We start from the raw sequence: 24,224 nt of genomic DNA, 5'->3' as shown, positions 1-24,224 counted from the left end.
TTCAGGAGTTCTGAATTTTCATTTTGGGCTTTTTAATTGAATGTTCAGCCTGGCTGTACATGCTGGGTTTTGTAAGCATTTTAATCAATAAATAAACGAGCCCACACCACGGCCACATCCTCCATCTGGTGCTGCCAACTGAGCAGAGAGTGAAAGAAAAGCCTTGCTTGAGGATTCTCTTTCTTTATCCCCCTGATTATTTAGAACATTCCGGGCAGAACTGGCTTTTAGGTTCGGCAAGTACAGGGCAAAGGAAGGGCCTTACAATTCAAGGTTTCCTGTGAGCTCATGCAAGGAAACTTTAGGAAATGGAAGGAAATGTCACCCCATGATGATGCTTGGTGACTCCCCTGGGAGCGCAGTCCTCCTGTCCTGGGGTGCAAGGCTAAGGCCTAGGGGTACATCATGGGAGGTCTCCCTGCTTCAAAAGGCCCTGGTGGCTGGCAGACTTAAGATCACCCTTAGGGTGATCTTAAGGATGGCCACTCAAGGATGTGTCAAGGACCCTGATGTGCCAAACACTTTCTGGAATATGTGGTCACAGCAGTAACCCAAATGGGAAAATATCCCTGCCCCTGCAAGCTTCAAATTTTCATCTGAAATAACAAAATAAAATCTATAAATAAAATCCCAAGAAAGCTAAAGAGTGAGAGGTCCTTTGGAGAAAGCAGCAGGCAGTCCTTGGGGAGGCAGGGTCGCAGTTTTAACTGGAGTGGTCAGAGGAGGCCCCGTGAGCAGGTGGCATGGAGGCAACACCCATGGGGAGAGGAGCTGAGGGGGCCTCATCTGCAAATGCCCTGGGGGAGCCTGCCCAGTGGCTTGTGGGGAAGACAGGGCTGGTGTGGCTGAAGCAGGTGACCCAGAGGGCACTGGGGGGAGACATCACCAGGGAGGCAGTGGGTGGGGGTTGGTGCAGGCCGGCGTGGGCCGTGTCATACGGCCTGGCTTTTTCTCTGACAGTGATGGGAGGCACTGGGGAATTCTGAGTTGAGGACTGGCATGATCTGCCTTCCCTTTCAACAGGATCACTCTGGTCACTGTTTGAGAATAGATGCTAGGGCAAGGGCAGAAACAGGACCCTCTGGTGGCAGCTCTGTCATCCTGGGGAGAGACACAGAGGGACCAGACCAGGGGTGGAAGAAGGTTAGATCAGGGATATTTCACAGGGTGAGCTGATGGGGTATGTCAGTGTGGGGAAACGGACCTGGACCCACAGGAGCCAGGGAAGGCCTGGCCAGAGGGAGCACGGAACGGGTGTGCTCCGAGGAGCATTTGACTGACACCCCTTTCAGCTGGCACTCCCTGAGGACCCCGGGGCTCATCCTCCTGCAGGGCTGGCAGACAACAGTTGGCCAAAGTCAAGGTCAGGGTGGGGCTCACCACCTGGAGCAAAGTGACCTAAATCATCCCCCACCCAGCCTGGGCTCAGAAATGGTTTTTCCCTGAGCCGTGAGGGACCCTCCTTCAATGACCCACAGACCATGGGAACTAGGGCAGCCATCACTCTGCTCTGAGGTGCTTCTACCCCAGCAGAAACTGAACCAGGCTCCAGAACTGCAGGGACAAGGATGACAGACATAGATGCGCTTCCCTTCCCGCCTGTCTAGCCAGCCACGGAGTTCTCTCTGCTCCTCGGGGACATAGCTGAGATCATGCTCCTGCCTGCTCTCCATGCCTCTCCTTCCCTTCTCTGCATCTATTTGGTGACTTCTCTATCCCCAGCTACTTCTACCAGCTGGGCCATCCACCCGCCCTTGGCTACTGCCACAATGCCCTATTCACCTCTGCATCCCCCTGAGAAGCAGGTTTGAGTGGGACAGATCCCCACCTCCAGTGCAGAACATCCCACAGGGTACGTTCCCACACTGCACCACACACCAGCCTCAGCTGTCACCAGCTGAGGCGCAAACCCAAGGCTGCCTGGGGCACTGGCCTGGTTGAGGGGCACTAGTCTGGTGGTGGGGGGGGAACACACATCTGGGTGGGGAGCATTGACATGGTTGTGGGCACTGACCCATGTGGAGGGTATTGGCCTGGGTGGGGCGAACTGGCCCAGGTCGGGGGCACTGTCCTGGTGAGGAGCACTGACCTAGTGGGGAGAGCTGACCTAGTTGGGGGCAATGACTGAGTGGGAGGCACTGACTGGATAAGGGACACTGTCCTGGTGGGAGGCACGGACCCAGTTGGGGGGCATGGGCAGAATGGGGGGCATTGGCCCAGTGGAAGGCACTGACCAGGGTGGGGGACACTGGCCTGGTGGGATGGGGCTGGCCTGGGTAGAGGGTACTGACCCAGGTTGGGGGCACTGACTGGGTTGGGGACACTGGCCTAGGTGGGAGGCATTGACTTGGGTGGGGGGCACTGGCCTGGGTGGGAGGCACTGACTTGGGTCGGAGGCACTGGTCTGGTGGGGAGCACTGACCCACACCAGGCACCCCTCTGGCTCTGGAGGAGGTATGCCCAGGGTGGGTACACAGGCCTCTTGCAGGCGGCTATGTGGGCTGCTCCCCTGGGGGGCAGAATCTCTCCTCCTTCCCTTCCCCTCTTTGGTGGGTTTTCTCTCAACTGAGCAAAGGGTCTCATCGAAGATGGAAGCAGAAGTCAGTCTTCTCTGTTACGTACAGCATTTGTATTAACAGTGATGACGATGATGATGATGGTGTCAATGAAAAACAGCTGAATGAATCGCAGGGTCTTCTTGGGGAACTCACCCCCCTGCAGAGGCCCTGCTCTCTCTGCTGTCCTCCCTAGCTCACTGCCCCCACAGCTTTCTTACTCTCTGTGGAGCCGTATTGGGCTTCCCATCCCGGTCACCCCCCACCTGGACCAACAGCTGCAGTCTAGTTGGCCCCACCAAATACCCAGGGCCAGGCATACAGCAGGTGCTCAGTAAGAGAATGCTACAGGAATGGAGGAGGAAATAGGTAAATCACTAGCTCCTCAGGGTAGGTCCCCAGGCCTAGTTAATCCACACTGCAGCCCAATCCACACTCCTGTGTTTAAAACTCAAAATAACATCTGGCAATGCTATAGCAGTGCTGTCAGGAGGTGAGACGCCTTGGGGGCCACTGGCAGCAGCTCTGCTAGTGTGGTCAGTGTCCCCAGCTGACCACTGCCTATTCCCACACGCCATGGCAAGTCCCAGGCCACGCGAATCCTCTGCACTCCCCTCACCTCACAGGGGACTCTGCAGAATCTCTGCTGCCCATGACACCTGCCTCCACCCACAGGAGCAAAGGGAGCAAGAACAGATGGTGCAGGGCCCAGCTCATTTACCCTGAGTCCCTGAGAAGCCACAGGTGGATGTTAAGGAGGGGCAGGAATCATGCCCTGATGACCTTTAAAAGGTCATTCTGAAGGCTGGGCACAGAGGCTCACACCTGTAATCTCAGCATTTTGGGAGGCTGAAGCGGGTGGATCACTTGAGATCAGGAGTTTGAGACCAGCTTGAACAACATGGTAAAACCCCATCCCTACTAACAATAAAAAACACACACACAAAAAAAAAACTGGGTGTGGTGGTGCACACCTGTAATCCCAGCTACTCGGGAGGCTGAGGCAGGAGAATCACTTGAACCTGGGAGGCAGGGGTTGCAGTGAGCCGAGATAGCACCATTGCACTCCAGCCTGGGCAATAAGAGTGAAACTCCATCTCGAATAATAATAATAATAATACTAGGTCATTCTGTTTAGAGTGGAAGCCAGGAGATGGGAGGAGGCTCTGGGTCCTAGGGGATAATGCTGACATGGGCGGGGTTGGGGGCTGCGCACAGACGTAGAGAACAGTGAATGGACCCAGCAGCCTTCTGGGGGGCCAACCTGGCTGGGGCAGGGAAGGGATCCTGGGGAGGAAACTTCATTACAGCACCTTCAGAGCCTCCCATCAATCCTTCACAGATGTCAGTCTCCAACCAAGCTATAGTGAAGGGCTGCAATGTCTCTCACAGTCACAGAGGGAGCAGTGTCGGCACAGGCAGGAGGCTGGGTTCTGTCCTCAAGCCCCACCTCTAAGGAGCTCCCACTTACACCTGAGAGAGAGTCCAGCTTCAAGCTACACAGAGATGCCCGTGCAGGGAGTGCCAATTGCAGCCATCCGTAAAGCCGGCCAGAGTCCACCACAGACGTGCCCACAAGATCTCACAACCATGGGAGATTCAGGTGAACCTCCCCAGGTAAACCTCCCCCTCCCTGATCTTCATGTCCCCAAATGCCGGCCTCCTGACACCAACCAGGCAGCAGGCCCCTGTCCTGTGGGGCTGCAGTGAGTCTGCAGCATGCCTGGGCACTTGCAGGTGGCTACAAGCATGTGGCTGGGATCACCACCTGGCCCTCCACAGTGAGACCTCCTTCTCTCAACATGAAGCCCCCTTCTTCACAAGAAGGACAAAGCTGTTAGGGTCCAGCCCTGCTTCCTTTCCCAGCCTCACCTCCCAGGGTCCTCTCCCTGCCCTGCGTGCCCCTCGGCTCCCGCCCTGAGTTCTTTAGACACTGAAGACTTCAGAGCCAGGCGGCCTGGGTTACAGCCTGGCTGGTGCTCACCAGCTGTGTGACTTGAGCAATTGTTTAACCTCTCTGACCTGTGGTTTCCTCATCTACAAATTGGGGATGACAAGAGCACCTGCTTCCTGGAGCCACCGCAGGCCCAAGCGAGGGAGTGTGTGCAAAGGAGCCCAGGGTGCCTGCATGCCTGCCATGAGCTCGCTCATCACTGGACAGGGGTGGAGAGGGGCAGGCACCTGCAGGCCAGGCGTGGGTGCTCCGTACCACACCACTTGCATGCCACTGGATGAGATACTCTAAGTCTGCATCTCAATTTTCTCATCTGTGACATGGACAACAGTGGCATTTCCTGCAGGGATCCTGAGAATTCATAGCGATGGCTAATCCATGGAATAGCTTGGAAAAGGCCTGGCTACCATGAGCCCTGAATGAACATCGGCTGAAAGAACAACTGGGAAAGTGCTGTTTCCACTGCCACCCACTTCCTTCCCTCCCTGCTTCTCTCCTCACTAAGTCTTTCTCACTCATGCAGCACCTCCTCTGTGCACCCCAAGATGCCCAGCTCTGGGGCAGAGGCTTGGCTAAGCCTGGGCTGAGTCGGTACCTCCTCACTTGGAGCCATCCTCCCACTCGGGTCGTGACTGCCCCTTTCTTGGGTGTGGCCCTAGCTTCCCCTGTAGGGCTGTGTCTGTCTTCCTCCCAGCTGAGCCCAGCCCCGTCACCACATCACCCAGCAGGGTGCTCAAGCCTATGATGATCAGATGGAAGAATGCAAGGATGGCTCTCACAGCAATTCTTTTTTTTTTTTTTACCTTTTTTTTAATTAATTTTTTTTTTTTGAGACTGAGTCTCCCTCTATCACACAAGCTGGAGTGTAGTGGTGTGATCTTGGCTCACTGCAACCTCCACCTCCTGGGTTCAGGTGATTCTTGTGCCTCAGCCTCCTGAGTAGCTGGGACTATAGGCACCCACCACCATGCCCGGCTAATTTTTGTATTTTTAGTAGAGATGAGGTTTCACCATGTTGACCAAGCTGGTCTCGAGCTCCTGGACTCAAGCGATCCACCAGCCTTGGCTGCACAAAGTGCTGGGATTACAGGCATGACCACCGCACACGGCACAGCAATTCTTTATACAGGCAGGACACTGTCTTCAGAGCAGCTCCCCATGTCTCCAGCAAAATCCCCCACCAAGGAGCTGTATGTGACATACAAATTCCTCCTTTGAAACAGTGGAAGAAAGACTTTCGGGCAGAGTAAACTGATTACATGGAGGGGCCCAAGGAGCAATCATAAACCACAACAGAGCTCCATCTTACATGTCAGAAGGAAGAATCCAGGTCACTTTCCAGGCAGAGAAAAGACCATTCCAAGAAGGGATGTGACACAACCAGCTGCTCGGCCAAGCACTGCCCCCTGGATGCTAGACCCCCACCCAGGGAAGCTCTTGGAGAACATAGAGGAGGGCGCCGGCCATTGGTAAAGAGTCAGGGCTACTCGGCAACAAGCCTCAGGCTGTTTCACAGGAGGGAAATGTGAGGTAGAGGAGCAAGACACCTGGGCTGCGGCTCCCAGCATTCCCGACTCCTGATCTGTAACAAAACCCCAGCGTTCACCTACAGCTGGGAGAGGGTGCACCCTGTTCACATGGCTTTGAGCAGGTGATTCAGGGAAGGCTGACAGCCAACATGAACATTGCTAGGACAGGACACTCACTTTCCGATGTAACTCATCCCCACTTTGAGAGGGCCCTGCCCAAAGACAAATGAAGGAGTCTTGGAAACTTGACTTACTTTCAGGAAGAGGCTTCCCAGGTTGGCATGGGCTTCACACCCTTTGTTTTCTAGTGGTCAGTGCATGCAGGGGACAGAGGATGACTGCCTGACATGGGGGCTGACCCACCACTGGCAGTGGAGAGAGAAGGGGGCAGGGTAGGGCAGGCAGCCCGGTCACCACTGGGGTAGCCTGGGACATCAGGGACTCAATGTCCAGATCAGTCCAGACAAGAGAACAGGGCTGCAGCCCCTTTCCCAGATTTTTCTGGCCCCTGATGACACACAAATGGACACTTCTGTGTCCTACAAGTTGTCATCCAAACTCCTTCGCAGTGCAGTGCTGGGTATTTTTAGCAGAAGGCTTTCCCTCCACCATCCCTCTGTCCTCCCTCCTACGGGTGCCCTAAGGCAGTTGAGTCTGTCTGCAGGGCCCCACACAGCACCATCGGAGGCCCAGGGCACTGCCTGCGGAGCTCTGTCCCTGTGTCCCATTCCTTCTAGTGTGTCCCCTGCAGTGTCATGGCGAGACAGTCCTTCCTGCTTGTGCAGGGACCCTCCCTGAACTGCAGCTGACAGATGCCATTTAAATGTCAAATTGGGGTGCGGTGCCTCACGCCTGTAATCCCAGAACTTTGGGAGGCTGAGATGGGTGGATCACCTGAAGTCAGGAGTTCGAGACCAGCCTGACCAACATGGTGAAACCCTGTCTCTACTAAAAATACAAAATTAGCCAGGCATGCTGGTGCACACCTGTAATCCCAACTACTGGGGAGGCTGAGGCAAGAGAATCGCTTTAACCTGGGAGGCAGAGGTTGCAGTGAGCCAAGATCATGCCACTGCACTCCAGCCTGGGCAACAAGAGTGAAACTCCATCTCAAAAAAATAAAAAATGAATAAATACATGTCAAATTGCTGTTACATGGACCAGGCCGGTTTGTGCTCCTCTCAGCACCATCCCAAAAAGACGCTTTTCTAGGCAGAGTCTATAGATAGAAAATTGGCAAGAGGAAAGAAAAATGCCCAAAATAGAAATCAGGGAATGCAATGTGAAACTAGGGGATGATGTCATTTAAAGTAGAGAAAAACTGGAACAAGCTAAACGTCGGATAGGTGAACAGTTACAGAAATCATGGGAAATATGCGCAATGATTTCTTCCACAGCTATGAAATATCCTATTTTGAGAACATTTTAGTGTAGTGAAAATATTCCAATTAAACATAGCATTAAGTGAAAAGACCAGGATACAAAACTTCATGTTTATATGATCCCAGCCATGTTTGAAAAACAAACACATATGTGGAACCCCAATACACTAACAAGGGGACTCTCTGGATTCTGAAAAGGGCAACTTTTATTTCCTATTTAAAAATATTATGTTTATACATTTATACATTACAAATTTTCTGTAGAGAACATAAATGATGCTTTTAATTAGAAAGAAACATTTAAAAATACATATTGGGGCCAGGCACGGTAGCTCACGCCTGTAATCCCAGCACTTTGGGAGGCTGAGGCGGGCAGATCACGAGGTCAGGAGATCGAGACCATCCTGGCTAACACGGTGAAACCTCATCTCTACTAAAAATACAAAAAATTAGCTGGGCGTGGTGGCGTGCGCCTGTAGTCCCAGCTACTCGAGAGGCTGAGGCATAAGAATGGCGTGAACTTGAGAGGCAGGGCTTGTGGTGAGCCGAGATTGTGCCACTGCACTCCAGCCTGGCAACAGAGCGAGACTCCATCTCAAACAAACAAACAAAAAAGTATATTATCTTTAGACTGAGAAGGCATGAAATATGGCTCAGTTTGGAGCTGCTCCTTGACAGAGCTGAGACACAACAGTCACCTGAAACTGGAGACCTTACCAAGTTCAGGTTCCCCACTTTGAAACCTGCGGATAAGCCTGGCTTGGGAGACAAAGAGGAGCAAAGAGGAGCGACTTAAGGCCAGAGGATCTCACACCCCACTGGAACAATATCCAGTCTTCCAAAATTCCTCCACACATTTCCCCACCACGAGGAGCTGCCTGGGCTCAGCAGATCACAGGGACAGTGGCAGGAGCTTCTTCCAAGGGCATCGCCGGCTGCAGACATGGCATGTGCATCTCACAAGCGCTCCTCCGCAGCACGTGCCCGAAGGCCCCTGGCCCTGAGCCCGGTCCTCCTGGCCCTACCATCTGACTCCTGCACGGCAGCCAGGCGAGATTGCAGGAACTGAGATGCATAATCCCCACTCACTGTTTGGGCAGATGGGCCTGGTCCAACCAAAAGCAATAGAGGCAGCTGCATGTAGAACACTGAAGAGCAAACAACCTCCTTCAAGCATAATGCAAAAAAAAAAAAAAAAAGAGATTACTCTGTTTCTTTTTCTCCCAACAGCCTTCTGTTGTTGCTTTCTGGCATTTCTCCATAATATCCTGACAGCATTTTCAAAGGAATCATGTGAGATGGTGCCCTCTCACTCTCCCCACGTTCATGAGACAAGTGCCCCAAATCAGGGTCCATTTCAGCTGTTAAGTGACTGGTTCTGGACACCTTTGGGGTCAAGGAAGCTATGGGATTATTTGTTGTGTTAAGCATTACCCCAGCACATGAGAATGTATGACTCAGTGCTGCTCCAGGCAGTCAGCTCATCATTTAATGTGCACCTACTATGTACCCGGCATATTGCCGGGCACCCCAGGAAAACAGTAAAAAGCAGCTATTCTCAACGAATTTACCATCTGGCAAAACAGGAAGAGAATATATACATGAAGAATAAAAATAATATTTAAGCCTTAAATCAGGGATGGAAAAGATGTTTCAGGCAGTTGTTAGAAGCCATCAAGAGTGCTGTGTTGTAAAGGCTCTGAAGCCCAGTCCTGAGCCCAGGAAAGGTATGGGTGTAACAGCAGCACCTCCCTTGAGTGCAGCTGGGCAGGTGCAGCAGTCAGGTCTGGGTCTGCATCCTTGCTCCCAAAGACCATGGATACAACAGGGAGGGAGGGCGTCTGAGTTGGAGGAATCCAGAGGCTTCAAGAAGACTTAGGACTTGCATTGATCTAGAAAATGATAGGCATTGGGCGGGCCAAAGGATAGTCAGAGGACATAGCCTAGCTAGGCATAATATGTGTAGGAGACAGTGAGGAAAATAGAAGTTGGGCGCTATAGAATACGAACATGAGGATTCCGGGTAATGAAATCTGGTGCATGCATATATGTGTGTGTTCGTGTGTGGCAGGTTGAAGGGACTTTGAGTATTTATGGTACATTCATCCCTGATCACACTAATTTCTCTTATCACTCATTTACTCTAATAAGTATGTATTACGTGCCTGGGGGCAATGTGTTATATTACTAGAAAGAGAAGTTCTCACTTCATTTTCCTTGTCTGTCTTTACTGACAAAGAGAAGGAATGATGTGATGTGTCTGAAGATATGAAAGAGCCACCCAGACCTAAGCCACCCGGACAAAGAAGGGATCTGGCTCATCCAGGACCATGCAACTTTGGTCATCTATATCTGTGGTAATCAAAGTGTGGTCCACGGACCAGCAGCATTGGCATCACAAGAGAGATTCCTTGGTTAATCCTGAATTCCAGGCATCCCCCTGTACCTATAGAATCGGAATCTGCATTTTAACAAGGTCCCCCCAGTGGTCTGTTTGCAACTTAAAGATCAGAAGCCTTGAGCTACTCCAAGAGCCCCATAGGCTTTGGATTTAAGAACTAGAAGCAGAGCTGGAAGGAACCTCAGCAATCCTCTGGTTCAAACCCGCAATGCGATACACAATATGAGGAAACCAAGATCTGAGAAAGTTAGTTGATTTCCCGATTTCCCCAGTTTTTAAGATTTCACTGTCACCCAGTTTCCAGCTTAAAAAAAAAAGTGTATTTTCATGACAACACATCTTCCCTCAGCATGCGTTCCTGAAGTCATATCATGTTTCATCTTCTATGCTATGAAGTGCAGCCTGCCAACACCAGAGAGCCATGGAATAGGATGAAAACCAACATAGCTTTCCACGTGATGTCTCAAAACCAAAAGCAGAGACATCTAAGTGAAAAGTAAGATATCCCAGTGCTACACCATGGTCCCCATAATTGCTAAGATCCTTACACAGATTTCCACCACACACAATGTCTGACCAAGAGTGCGTATAAGAGCAGCACCACCCAGACCATTTCCTGCCAATCCGTGACATGTAGCATCAAGAAATCCAAGCTCATGTTCCAACAACAGTTTGTGTGCAGAAGAGTACCCTAAAACTCTGATGCAAGGAACTGTCTGAAATGGTTGTTTCTAAGACCTTTGTGTGGGAGCATGGGATGTGAAATCCTGTTCCAGTTGGAAATAAATAACAAGAAGGCTCACCCCAGCCAGTGGGTGATAATGTGGCATTCATTACACCGTGTGCACATAGAGCGTGCAGTCCAAGTCATATGACAGCAGAGAAAGGGGCTTTTTCTGCAGAGAGAGAGAGACAGGGGATGGAGGAGGAGATAGTTAATAATTTTCTTTTCATATGACAGCTTGGAAAATCCAGTTCAGCTTTATAACGCCAGCTCCTCAGTTATAATTTAGCACCTATTCCAGGAACAGTTGACAAACGAATGTTAGTGAGCAACACAATGCCATTTTCATTTGCCAGCCAGAATGATTTTTTATGTCCTTGATAAGCCCACAAATAAATTTGTCAATTTATTCATAGCTATGGGTTGGAGTCAAGATGCAATCTCTTATGCTCTGCAGACACTGGTGCCGCTTTCTTTACGGAACACCCATCTGTTTTTCTACCACATGGGCATAAAGATTTCCAGAAGCTACTAAATAAGAAAGTGATTTGAGTCCTCCTGTAGTAGCTTTCTAGCCATCTGCTGTCCCAGCCATGTGTCTTCCATCATGACAACTTTTACCCATGTTCCTAAGACAGGGGTCAGGTCCAGCAATCTCCCAGGCTCCCGGCAAAGAGAAAAAAACGTAATTGAGTGAAAAGAAGTCAGTCTCCTTGGGTGACAATGACTTGCCTTGCAAAAATCCCAGTGTGCTGTCAGGAAACAGAACAATTCTCAACAGAAAGGAAATGGAGGTGACTCCAGACCAACATGACAAAAATTCTGTTTTGAGAGGTCACCTGGGGTGCCTCTATTTTGGGAGGAAATAATTTCCTTAATGACATCTCTGTGGGCTCTCATACTTTCTGGCTTTATCGGGTTTTAAAGCTGGCATATCCACATTCAAATGCCTCCTTTGTGAACTGGTCTTTAGATGAGAATACCTCTGAGTGTTCCTGTTCCCTAATACATTAAGAACTATGGGCAACTCCCCGGACTCCATGCCTGCAATAACTCTGAAAGGAGTTATGCAAAAGCAATTACAGTTAATGACAGTCTTCTCGGTTTTTAACTTTCTTTGTTCTTGAGGCCCAGGGATTTGGATCCTTGCACCTATTCTGAATGGCTGCAAACACATCGCATCTAAGTTTGAGTTCTTCTTGGAAACCAAGGTTCACAGCATTTTCCTGATAGCCTTGTCTTGTGGGCAAACAAGACAACTTCAGGGCATGAGACTATATTAAGGCTAGTGATGTGACAATGGGACAGCTCAACCTGCTGGTGGCAGTCAGCCAAAAGGCCATGGGATGGCCCATGCCAGGGCTCACTTCGCCTTTCAAATAAGAACTTGAACCTTTCTCTGGCTTGCTTATTTGAACAGGCAGGTCCTGGATGTAGAGAGGTGGCACACTTAATTGGGTCACTAAGGGGAGTTAGCAAAAGAAAAACTATAGGACTATGAGTGGGGTTTAGGAAACTGCACACAGGAGAGTGCAGCGCCCTAAAACTGGCAACAGTGCGAAGCTTTAATATCTGAGGCCTGAAAGGGAAGGGCCAAAAAGCTCTGCAGAGGCCACAGAGAAGAGCTCTGTGCAGAGGGCCTCTGATGAGATCTGAGGCCTCTGATAGGATCCGAGGGAGGGCCCAGAAGGGGAACACCCTGATCTCACAGTTCCCCTCCCGCCTCCCATTGGACAAATCCAACCACCTGCGCCTGGGTATATAGTGCAGATGATGCAGTCTCCAGCACCAACAGGGTCAAGGGGGAGGGTGGCTCTGCAGGGTGCATGGAAGTCACCTGAGCGTAGTGTCCCAACCTGGTGCTCTCAGAAGGGAGGTATCTCTCTTAGGTATCTCAGGTAGCCTAGAGATACCTAAGCACCTCAAGAAAAGATTTTATATGTCACTGTAAGCCCACAGATAAACATGTCAATTTATTTATAGCTGTGGTTCAGAGTCAAGATGTACTTTCTTATGGTCTGCAGACACTGGTATCGCCTCTCCACCAGGGCATCAGGAATCCAGGGTTATTGTGACCACAAAACACTACACAGGAGAGACCAAGGGGCCATTCGCTAGACCCGAGCAGAAAAAAGTCCCTTGGAAAAATTTAAAATGCAAATTTTGGATGCAAAATTCTGTGGCATATAATCACTGGGTCTTTTTTATCTCTGGACAACCCCCCATGAGGCCAATACCATGGCTGTCATCTGTATGTCACAGATGAGATCACAGAAACATGGAGAGCAAGCATGGATGCAAATCAGAAAGTTGCTGAGAGGGAAGAGCAGTGCAGAGCTGAGCACAGGGACAGTTGCACGTCCCATTTCAGTGCTGCCAGTCTGTGGAGGATGGCGGAACCACCTGGGCAGGGTCCACAAATGCTCACTGTCTTTTCAGATGCAGACTCACAGCATTGACTGCTTTCTCTGGGGACAGACCGGTCAACGAATTTAGAGTTGGAGAAGTTTGGATCTGGGAAAGGTAGAATGGCTACTGGCCCTGTGAGATGTCACTCCTCCCGGGAGGTATGGGGCAGCGTCCACTCTGCACCACATCTCTGTAGGGAAACCCAACACTCCCAAAGGTACTGGGAATCCTGGTAGCTCAAAGCAGGTTTTGCTAGCAGATGAGCTATGCCAAACAGGGGGAAAAGATTCCTGCTTCAGAGCTCCTGGGATTTAGAATCATGGGTGTGGAAGCTCCCCTCACCATGTGCCAATCCAGAAGGGGCCTTAGCTGAAAGTCCAGGCCCACCTGGAGCAAACCCCTGGCTCTGGGGTTTTAGTGACTTGGTCTTCTGCACCCAGGTGATAAGCATAGATGGCCTTGTGCGGGACTGTGGTGCAGCTGAGAGAGCATGTGCTGAGTGACCACAGGACCTGAGCCCCATGCCCTTTGCCCCTCTGGGCCTCCAGGTTCCTGCTTGCCTTTGAATTGCAACCAAGGGCCCCCTGGAGTGACCACTGCGTGGGCAGCACACCTTCATTCTTCTTACAGGAGGGTCAAACACATCCCTTGACCACACTTTTCCATCATCATAAGGAAATCTGCTGATGGCAGAGCATTACCTCCCTCAGAGAAACAGAATGCTGCCTATCCCTTTGCCAGGCCCTTACTTTAAGAACTGAAAGTGAAATGAAATCCTTGAATAAAGTGACTTGGAAAATCCACAGGTACAAAGCACCAGGCCTGCAGGGTCCAAGCACCTTCCTACTGCCATGTAATGATAGGCACCTGAATGTCCACCTCTCCATGTCAGAAACACCATTGATTCTAAGCAGCAGATCAGGCTTCCACCAGCCTCTGATGTGTCCTGGCTTATCCTAGGCAAACTGTCCTGCAGGCCATGGACCCTCAGAACCCAGGGCAGAAAAGAGGAAAACCGGGTGAGTGGACAAAAATCTGAATGCAGTAGAAGGAGGCACGCTGGGGGCATGGGAGGAAGGGAGTGGTCAGGCTTGGAGCCACGCAGAGGCAGTGAAGCCAACAAGGCCAGGACTGGAAGGAGGATGCTCTCTAACACACAGACTCACACCCTGCCAGGTCTGGATCCAGGTTCCACAAGGCATCAGCTTGCTCACACTGGACCAGGCTCAGGGACAGATGCAAAAGCAAGCTTTCATGAGCCCCAAGTGAACTTTTCCCCATAGGACACTCAGAGAGGACTGACACAGATGACAGGTTAGGCTCCCCACAGAGCACAGACACACTCCGGGGCTTGACCGTGGCCAGAACATGACGCACCACCTCAGCCTCTGGGCTCCCACCGCCAGGCAAGCGATTGCCCTGCAGTCCAAGTGCCCCAGCATGCACTGTTAATATATGAATACCACGTCCAGACACACTAACAAAAACGCACGGCACAGCAGGCACACTGCACTGGAGAATCAGCGGTTTGTGCCTCAAGTCTAATTAAGACAAAAGTTTTGTGCGTTGGCCGTGGAAAGGCATGCTAATGACTCACAAGCTGGCTTAACCCCACCATGAACACCTGTATTTCAGCAGCTTCCCAGGAGGTTATGAGGAGGTGTGGAAAGGGGAAGCTGTCCTGCCCTTCACACTGAGTGGATCTGCAAGCACAGGGCAGGGCAACTCAGTCTCCAAAACCAGAAGGCCAGTGCCAGGCTCAATTTGTTCCTTCTTTAAAGCAGCTTCCATAGAAAGCCTCACTGTCACCCCTACTCCAGACCCTGGGCTCTTTCCAGACTGGGCTAAGGGGTGACAGCTGCCTGGGCCTCTTCCAGGACAGGGCTGTGTGGCCGGCCATGGAGCAGAGGCCCCGCGGCACAGCGCACAGACAACGTCCTCCCAGAGGCAGCTGTTCCCCACATTGACTTCACTTCTGATGGCACAAGGCCAGAATGTCTTTCATTAGTTTCCCAAACTCTGTCATCAGGGAAGCAGACGAGCCCAGTGTGGATTTTTTAAAGTCAGCACGTTCAAGAGCATCAACCTACATGAAGCCACACATCCTTAAACACACACACCCCACACACATGTCATCTGACACGAGGCCACACATCCTTAAGCACACACACTCCACACACATGTGCTTAGCCATGCGGGGACTTCACCTGCAGAGGTGTGCACAGAAGATGATCTGCCTGGCCTAGACTGGGAAGGGTCTCAAAAAAATCACTAAAGCCTCAAAAACATGGTCTAACCCATGACATTGGCAATGGTCTCCCATGCACTTCTAGATGCCACTCTATGCCCTTCATCCAGCCAAAACCACCCTGTGACTGCTCCACACATAATTCAAACACAGGGTTTCCTGCAGCAGATGTGACTCCAGTGGCTTCCAAGGCTGGACGAGAGGAGAGTGATGGGAGGGGTGTGTCCCCTTCTGCATGCCTGCCTCCCAGTCCACACGCCCTAGACCAGCCACCTTTGGGAATAAGGTCCTGCCCCACAATTGCCAAATTCCATTGATTTCATCTCCTGCAGCTTGTCTGATAATTTTGGTTGCTATCAGTCCCTGAATGCTTTAAGAATAAAAATGCCTTTCAGTAATACTCATGGCTACTAATACAGTGAAGATGCTCAAGGAAATGAACACCCACCAAAATGACAAGATCACCAAAAAGAAATTCCTGAGGGTCACACCACACTTGAGAAAACTGCAGGCCCCAACCCCCTTCCCCTGGGACCGCCCCTCTGTAAGACCCTGGGCTGAGTACCTGAGGGATGTGTTCGTTCAAGGTCTTTCATTACGGTGGATCTGGGAAGGCCAGGGGGCAGGACAAGGGAGGTGACAGCAAGTGAGAAGGCAGCCCAATGCCACCCTCCCCTCGGCTTTCCTACCCAGGGCAAGCTCTCCTGGAAAAACACCCACGGGCAGAGGTGTGGGGACAGGAGGGAGGCGGAAACACGGCCTCCCCAAGTGAGATGGAATCTGGGGGTCATTTGATAAGCGCTTCACCAGCTGATGCATATAGAATACTCACTCCCCAGCATCCCCAGTGGCTCAGCAGCAAGACTGGCAAATCCTCCCAGGGAGCAGAGAGAACAAACACAAGGAGCCAGGCAGAGAGCCAAGTTCAAATCCCAAATCCAGCACGTAGCACCTCTGTGGCTCAGGCCAGCGATTTAGCATCCCCAATTCTCAAATTTTCTGACCACAAAAGGGGGCTACTGTCCCCTGCTTCCAGGTCCCCATGTGCACTGAATCACAGTACAGTACAGCTCCCTGCAGCGCTCTCCCTCAGCCCCAGCTTTTAGGAAGGGGCTGAAGTGTGCCCCCATCCTGCTCACCAGGATCTTACCTCGGCCCTGGGTGGCCCATCCCTCCCCTACTCTCTTCTGGAGACCTTTGTGGACAACACCAGGGGTCTCTGTGGTCACCAGCATTTCTGAGTGCTCCTCCACAGGGGAGCAAAGCTCCACTCCCTCTGTGAGCTCAATACTGGCCACCAAAACACTCAATTTCAACGCAGTGAGGTGAGGCCTGGCAGAGGCTGGCAATGGGGTGGCAAGGAAGGAGCAGGGGAGCAGGTGTCCAGCAGGCCCACAAGTGGGGAGTGGGAACAGAGGCCTTAAGTAGGGGGAAGGCTGTGGCCATGGCCCAAGCACCCAGAGCGGGAGACTGCCAGGCTGGGGCCTGGAGGGAGCGAACAGAGGCATGCTCCAGGCACCTCTGGGACTATCACAGGCATTTCTGGGCTGTACCCTGGGCATTTTTATTACCTTTCAGGATTGATCATCTGCCATCATCACCGCTGCTGCCCATGACTCTGGCCCTGGCCAAGCCTGGACTTACCTTCTGTCTGCATACACAGTTCACACAGTCCTTGCCAACCCATGCCAAGCAGTCACCCCTTCCTCCACGTGAGGGAGTAGGACCCAGGGAGAGTAACAAGCCAGCCCCAATGCCACCATTGGTACACTGAGTTTCTCCTTCTCACTGTCACCTGAGTCTACAGGGGCCATCAGACTCCCCATCCATAGCTCCTCTCCTCACAGGAGGACCATTACCCCTCCACCTCCTCCTGCCTGCCAGCCCTGGAGGACACAGACATGGTCTACCTCCTGGTGAGCTCTTCTGCAGCTTTCTCCTTTGGCCGTTCTGAGGACTAAACTATGAAACAAAGCCATAAAGCTGGTAAGTGCAAGAAAATGACCAGCCAGACCCACTTTAAGTGAAGTGCTCCAAGCAAACAAGGGTGCCCGGACGTCTCCCACCACGGAGGCGAGAGGTGGAGTGCGTGCATTGGCTCTGTGCGCCGTTCTCCTGGCCAGTGTTCCCAGGCCCTGCAGTCAGCTGAGGCACAGGGCAGTACCACCCCTCCCCTGTCCTCCCACCGCAGGGCAGGCCGGCGTCTTGGTGACCCTCGGGCCTTCCTGCAGTGCTCATGACCTGGCAGTGGTGGAGCAGGACCAGAAGATTCCTAGAGCTTCTCCCAGTTACTTCACACCCATGTTTTGGTATCTCAGCAAAACCAGAGTCCACTTTTCCCCTGGGGTAGATTTTTTTGGTTAAGAAAATGCAGACAACTTGCACCAATTATGAACACGTTAGACTAAACAGTCAATCTGATCTACACTCATTTCTCAAAGCCAATATCTCCCTACATTAATGTGTAAAGGAAAGATGCAGGTTTAACCCCAATAAACACTCATGGCAACAAGATAAAAAGAAAAATAGCTGCTATCCATCATCAATCAGAAACTGCTCCTTAGGGAGGAAGCAAGCCCACCTTCCCTGAGCCAGAATGCAACTAGAGACAGGCTTCGCCATGCAGCCCCCACTCATATCCCACCAGCATCCCCTCTGACACCAAGCAGAGATGTAGCATCTTGAACCTGAGCCCTGGAGCATCCCGAAAGCCTGGCCCAGCGCTCGGCCATTGGGCTTCTGCTCTACAAACCACAGAGCCAGGCAGGCCTTTCAGCTCCTGCCACATGGCCATCTCTACATTCTGCCTCCCTCTCAGTGGGAACCGTCAGCTCTAGCCCGCTGGGGGTCTGTGTGCTCCCCAACACCCTCCCATGGTCAGCGTGCCCCCGACAGTCAGTGTGTCCATTGGCACAGAACCTCTGTGCAGGCTTGCTCTTGCTCTCTGGGCCTGCACCCACTCCACCATCATGGAAATCAGATACGGACTCTTCTGATTTCCTCTACCCTGAATCTAAGAACTGTGGGGAATTCAGCAGCTGCTCACTCTAAACACTTATACTCAAATTAAGTAAAGCACTTTACCAAACAGCAGACCTGGAGCTCGATCCCAGAGGCTCCCATCCTTAACTCTCCCACAGTGAATCACCCTCCCTCATCCCTTTGCATGCTCTGCTGAGGACCAGCAGGTGAAAGGCACCCACAGAGTCAGAACCAGAAGAGCTGCCTCCAGTACACGTGCTGTGCGTGTGCTGGATGCAGGACACTAGAGGGACATCCTGCTCTGAGACTGTCACATCGGCAGAGCTAGTCCTTCCCTCTCCTCACTTTCCAAGTCCCAAGAGTAGAATTCCTGATGGATAACGGAGGGGGCCCGGGGAAGGAAGAGGCAAGAGGGGTCTGAGGGTGCTCCACCCCAACAAAACCCACAACCTGTTGTCAGGTGTGTTTGTGCCCCTAAGTGTGCCCTCCAGCAGCCCAGGGCAGAAGCTGGGGTCGCAGGAGGGACAGGGAGAACCGTGACTCACTGCATTGTGCAGGTGGCACTCCATTTCCTATGGCATAGGTGACAACTGTGCCCATTCCTGTCTCTCAGGGTGTGCAGTAAGTAACCAGTCCTCTCTCTCTGGCCCTGTCATGGCATACAAGGTCGGCTCTGGGGACAGCATGGCTCAGTTGTCAGGAGCGTGAGGCTTTAAGGTCTGCAGATCTGTGTGTGTTCTGCATCACCACTGCCACCTAGGGAACCTGATGCAAGTTCCTAGTACCAAGCTTTAGTTTCCACATTTGCAGTGAGGATAATGCACCCACTTCTGCAGGCTTATTAGACACGGTATGCAATAATGTGCAACGGACATAAAACAGCCGACCACTGTTATCCAGCAGGTGCTCAATAAATGAAGAGAGAAATGAGATGAACCCTGCAGCGCCCTCGAGGCTCATGCTCACAGCCCTCATCGGGTGAGCCCCATTTCCAACGTCTCCAGATACTCACTGCTGGGTGCTACAAAGCAGAAAGGTTGTTTACATTACCCGAATGCTCTCAAAATAATCTTTTGATGAGCAGATCTATTAGTGTAGATTGTTTTTAGCTTGGAGACTACTTACACAGGGTTTTTAAGGATCAGGAGCCTGAAACCCCATATTTCAATGACTGCTAGGACTGGTATTGGACCATGGCCCCAGTGGAGCCCCAGTCTGGTAGACCAGCACCCGGGAACGAGAAGGGATTCCCCACCGCTCCCCTTCCTATTGCTGAGCGTCCACCAGACTGGGGCCCCATCACCCTGCCTAGCCAAGAGCGCACTCAGGTGGGATGCTGCTGTCCAGAGCCCCTCAGAGCCCACTGCCACTGGCTGGCTGTGGGGCCCCCTCTCTGGGCCTCAGTTTCCTTGCATGTAAAATGAGGGGAAAGGCCTCTGCGTTTCCTTCCAGTGCCAACACGCTAGGTCCTGCTGCTGCTTCTCCACAGCCAGGTGTTCTGTGTGCCACGGGCATTCACTAGTGCAGGCCACTGACATTAATTATAGATGTCAGCTCTTTATGATTCTGACAGCATTGCAGCAAGAAAAGAGGAGCCCCCAAAAAACATGCAGAAAAAAAGAACTCTGTTGTCTCTGGGATCGAAAAAAATAGGAGGGGAGCCTGGCTGGCATTCTGAAGTCCAGAATCTCCTCTACTCCCACCCTGGGGCAGCACAGCCTAAGAGAAACCGTGGCCCAGGGGGTGTGTTTTTGGGGCCCTCTCACCCCTCACCCTCCACCTCTTACCGCCCCCCAATTACCTCCCAACTCTCATCCCTTGTCCTCTCTCACCCCCCAGGGGCCCATACCCTAAGCCTCGCTACAGGGCAGGCCCCACCAGCCCCCACACTCCTGATAGATCCTCCCGGACCTCTTCTTGCCCGGCCTGGCTCTGTCAGCGAGGTCAGCGTCTGCGAAGTTTCGCGTCACTGCTCCCAAGCGTACTGAATTTCAAAAGAAACGCAAGCTGGCAAGAGCTGCAAAAGCAGGAAATTCCAATGACAGAATTCCAAAAGGAAACAGTGATGAGACCATTTCTGGGAAAAGGTGAAGGGGTGGGGAAGAAAGGTATCCCGTTTCCTTGAAATCCCACCCACTAGGCAACTGCAAGTGCTCCTCATTCCAGCCCTGACCTGTAGGACAAGGGTGATGGAGGGGGCGGTGGCGACTTCCCCAGTTAAAGCCTCAGAGTTCACATTAGCAGCATAGCAGCATTAAAGTGAGGTGGAGGAAGACCCAGTAGACAGGAGGAGGTCAAGGGACAGTCACTCCAGCAGGTGATGCAACTTCCATGCAAGAACCTGCCACTGCCGATTTAGCCTAATTGTCAGTGTGCTTGAACCTTCACTAGCCCTCCACTGGCCACTGCAATCCCTTTGCAGCAGTTAACCTTGGAAGAACAAAGGACGTGGCAGGAGCTAAGCCACATTCAGAAGTCAGCAGGGCTCTCGACAAGCTAATAGCACGCTTCATGTCAGCCTCTTCCCAAAACGTATGCATGGAATCCGGACCACAGCTCTTGGTCCACTACTCAATATCCCATGGATGGTTTTCCAGGTGATACGTGGATTTGCCATAAAATTAATGGGCACAGCAGTTCCCAAGATCCTCTTACTTTCATGCTCCCCCATCACCCTGGAAGAAAGATAACTTCAAAATCAAGTACAAGCACACCAACTTTGGAATGAGGAAACCTACAAGTCTAAAATCTGTGTCTTCTCTTGACTGCTCAAAGTAGACATTCTCACGGAGCCTCGGGTGTACTACTGCCCAGCAAACACTCATCCCCACCCTCCACTTCTGCAGAGTGCACGTCCCCACACTTGACCCTGGGCTTAGCCCCACGATTTGCCTTGGCCGATGCAATACCCACAAACAAGATACAGGTGAAGGGTAACATGGGTTTCAGTTGGGTACAGATGGGCTTGCATCCCTAGGGACTTGCCTTTCACCATGAAGACATGGCTCTGGAAGCTGCTGGTCCAAAGAAGGTAAAATTCAGCAGACCTGGACCTAATCAAAGCTTGAAGCCAAGCCAGGCAGATGTTCACAAGTGACTGTGAATAGCAGGTGCTTATCCTATATGCCGCTGACTCCTGGGATACATTGCTATGCAGTGACATTGGGGCCCGACATTCCAGTAACCCCAGGGTTGGCTGTCCCTTCTGCTGAATCCTTGTGCCTCATCATCAACCATGAGTCTTTGTTCATCGGGCACATTTATTTTAGCTGAACAGACAACACTGAACACCAAGTTAGATGAAATTATCCCATTCCTTCAGAAGTGTCATCACCACTGCAGACTGGCAAGCCCCACTGGGATGCCCCTGGGCCCACCCCCATTACGGGCACCAGCCTGCTGCTATGTGTGCACCAGGGTGGCTGAAGCACGGGGCCCTGCCGATAAAGTGCCTACCGTGGGCTCAGGGAAACATCCTCCACAAAGGAGTGCAGAGAAAATAGTCCTGGTGAATTACTGAAATTGATTTTTTTTTTTTTAAGATTGGGTCTTGCTCTATCACTCAGGCTGGACTGCAGTGGCACAATCATGGCTCACTGCAGCCTAGACCTCCTGGGCTCAAGCCATCCTCCCACCTCAGCCTTCTGAGTAGCTGGGACTATAGGTGCATGACACTATGCCTGGCTTTTTTTTTTTTTTTTTTTTGTTAGAGACAGGGTCTCCTTGTTGCCCAGGCTGATCTCTAACTCCTGGCCTCAACTGATCCTCTCACCTCAGCCTCCCAAAATGTTGGGATTATAGGCGTGAGCCACCACACCCGGCCTGAAATGCCTTTCAGCAGAAGAAATGCCCTTGTAATTCACAGCAAAGTCTACCTGGCCACTGTTTCTCCACTTTTAAGAGGTAAGACTGCCAGGTATAAGAACTTAATTTTCCAAGTAATCATTTCCCAAAACCTACACATCCACCCACAGCCACGCTTGTGGTAATGATCTTGTTGTCACAATACACCTGGGGCTCCTCATGAATGGGAGGCACCCTGAGTGGGAGAGGACATCCAAACCCAAGCACTGCCTGTTTAATTCAGAGTCAGTTCTGAGCTACGCACGCGGAGGAGTGCAGGGTGATAGATAACGACAGTGTACACGTAAGTCTCAGGGAGGCACTTTCAACGGACCAGCGCCTGTCACTTGGTATTCCACGGACTGCTCGGAGATGCAGCAGCTGCCCAATGTCCTAGCAGAAGTAGGACTCTTCACGGGAGATACTAAATCTTATGAAATTATACAGTCGTAGTAATTGAGAACACAAAGTTGATTTCCATCACCGAGGCCGGGGTCACATAAAGAGCAGTAAATGAAATGACACTGAGAAAATAATCATTTCAAAATCCAATCAAACCATCATCTGCAAACCTCAGTGATCCTGATTCCAGAGTCACATCCAGGTTCCTGTACAGTGAGGGAGAGGCCAAGTGTGACACATCCGAAATGCAGGGCACACCAGGCACAGATGCGACTGAAATTCTGGGAACTGTTTCTAACTACGTAATGAAGATACAGAAGGCTGACCTGCCACCCCATGCCCCCTCCTACAGTCCTGAGGGCTCTGGACAGTTGAGGGACCGCCGGCGTGGGGCTGACTTCAGCTTTATCCCAGCACAGAGCATGGTGCCTGCCATTTGACAGGTGCTCGAGGGAAGTCTGTTGATTCTGTCCATTTGCCCACTGCTCCTTTCAGGGAGAAGCCGAGTCCCCCAGCTCAGGACTCCCCTTCTTACACCCTCCCCGAAACATGAACCTTGGTCATCTCTACTCTCTTAATCTCATTTTTTTTTCCATGTGAATTTAGATTATTTTATCTTGCTTAACTATATTGTTTGTATAAGGCCCCTTAGATCCTTTTAGGAAAAAGGTAGTATATATATATGTAAGTCAAAACTGTTTTCTCTAGAAACAAAACAACAGAGAAGGCTGAGGTATCACAAAAGCTGGAATAATGTGATTTAAAACAAGCCAAAAAGGGTCTCTATCTGACTTAGAATATTTGTCTGGTAACAGTTCAGATTTGTCCAGCGCCTTAGCCCAAAGCACCATGGCAAAACAATAATAAGCATGCCATTTAGTTTCACAATATACAAATGAAACACAAGTTTTCTCCAGTTACTATTACATCTACTTTCCAGGTGAGAAAATACATCACTAAGTGGCTTGAACAAGGCCTTCCATGCAGCGACACCTGGGCTAAAGCTTCTTGCCCTCCCTGGGTCCCGGAGGACAGTCACAGCCTTCAGACGGGCCTGGACTGACAGTCACTCTCAGGCCATCACCCAGTGACAGCTGCTACATCTACTACGGGACACATATTTGCCATCAATGCCATTCCTAGCTCAAAGGACAAATCCCATATCCATCTAATCGTGACCCTTTTCTAGAGCAAATAACTTTTTCTTCTTCTAAGACATGAGCGTATGCCACCTCCAGGGACGTTCAGACTCACACATATGGTGATGTGGGAGAACGCTGGTGTTTTCTCAGGTCTTAAGTTGAATGCCTGCTCCTAACTCGAACCCTCGTGGGTTCAGCCAAAGAATGCCTTCTACCATCACTGGGTCCGAGATCCCCCTTCCTGGGAAGAGCACTGCCTCCTGAATGAAGGGTTGCTGGGTTCCTCTCTGCCAACTGAACCATGAAATCCTCTCCAGGATTGGAGACCAAATGGGGGCATGTTCGTCTCCCCTCACCCAGCTGCACATGACGTGGGCTATAAATCCATTCCATGGTCATAGCCAAATAATGTCAGATTATAATGAATTTTCCTCTCCATAAACCTAGAGTGGACTCAAAAAACCAACCGACCTTGAAGGGAAAATCCTAGATCCTATTACCAGCTCCCCGCGAACGCTTCAGATCCCTCTCACTGTGCCTCGCTTCATAAACTGTCATTAGCACAGGGAAGCAGGTGCGGCTGTCCGGGAGAGGAAGGGTACCCGGCAAACAGCGAGATGAGGAATGAACCTTTTAAAAGGACGCGCTAATCA

At 51.3% G+C, this 24,224-nt stretch overlaps 2 protein-coding genes across 3 annotated transcripts in view, besides 1 other annotated feature; both read right to left on the bottom strand.

Annotated features, from left to right (window-relative positions):
* Nucleotides 1–24,224, bottom strand: part of RANBP2 (RAN binding protein 2) — a 1,122,820-nt gene that overhangs the window by 542,402 nt on the left and 556,194 nt on the right. The gene's annotated exons all lie outside the window — the stretch shown is intronic.
* The window catches only part of SH3RF3 (SH3 domain containing ring finger 3), a 375,430-nt gene that overhangs the window by 204,735 nt on the left and 146,471 nt on the right, over nucleotides 1–24,224 (bottom strand). The gene's annotated exons all lie outside the window — the stretch shown is intronic.
* Nucleotides 8,673–8,967: an enhancer, noted in NCBI's record as "tiled region #6940; HepG2 Activating non-DNase unmatched - State 23:Low". NCBI's record gives its function as "activates a minimal TATA promoter and a strong SV40 promoter by Sharpr-MPRA in HepG2 cells {active_cell/tissue: HepG2}" and the evidence as "EXISTENCE:reporter gene assay evidence [ECO:0000049][PMID:27701403]".

The sequence above is a fragment of the Homo sapiens genome, chromosome 2 (assembly GCF_000001405.40).
Source record: "Homo sapiens chromosome 2, GRCh38.p14 Primary Assembly".
Taxonomy (NCBI): Eukaryota; Metazoa; Chordata; class Mammalia; order Primates; family Hominidae; genus Homo; species Homo sapiens.
This window is presented reverse-complemented; position numbering and strand designations above follow the sequence as displayed.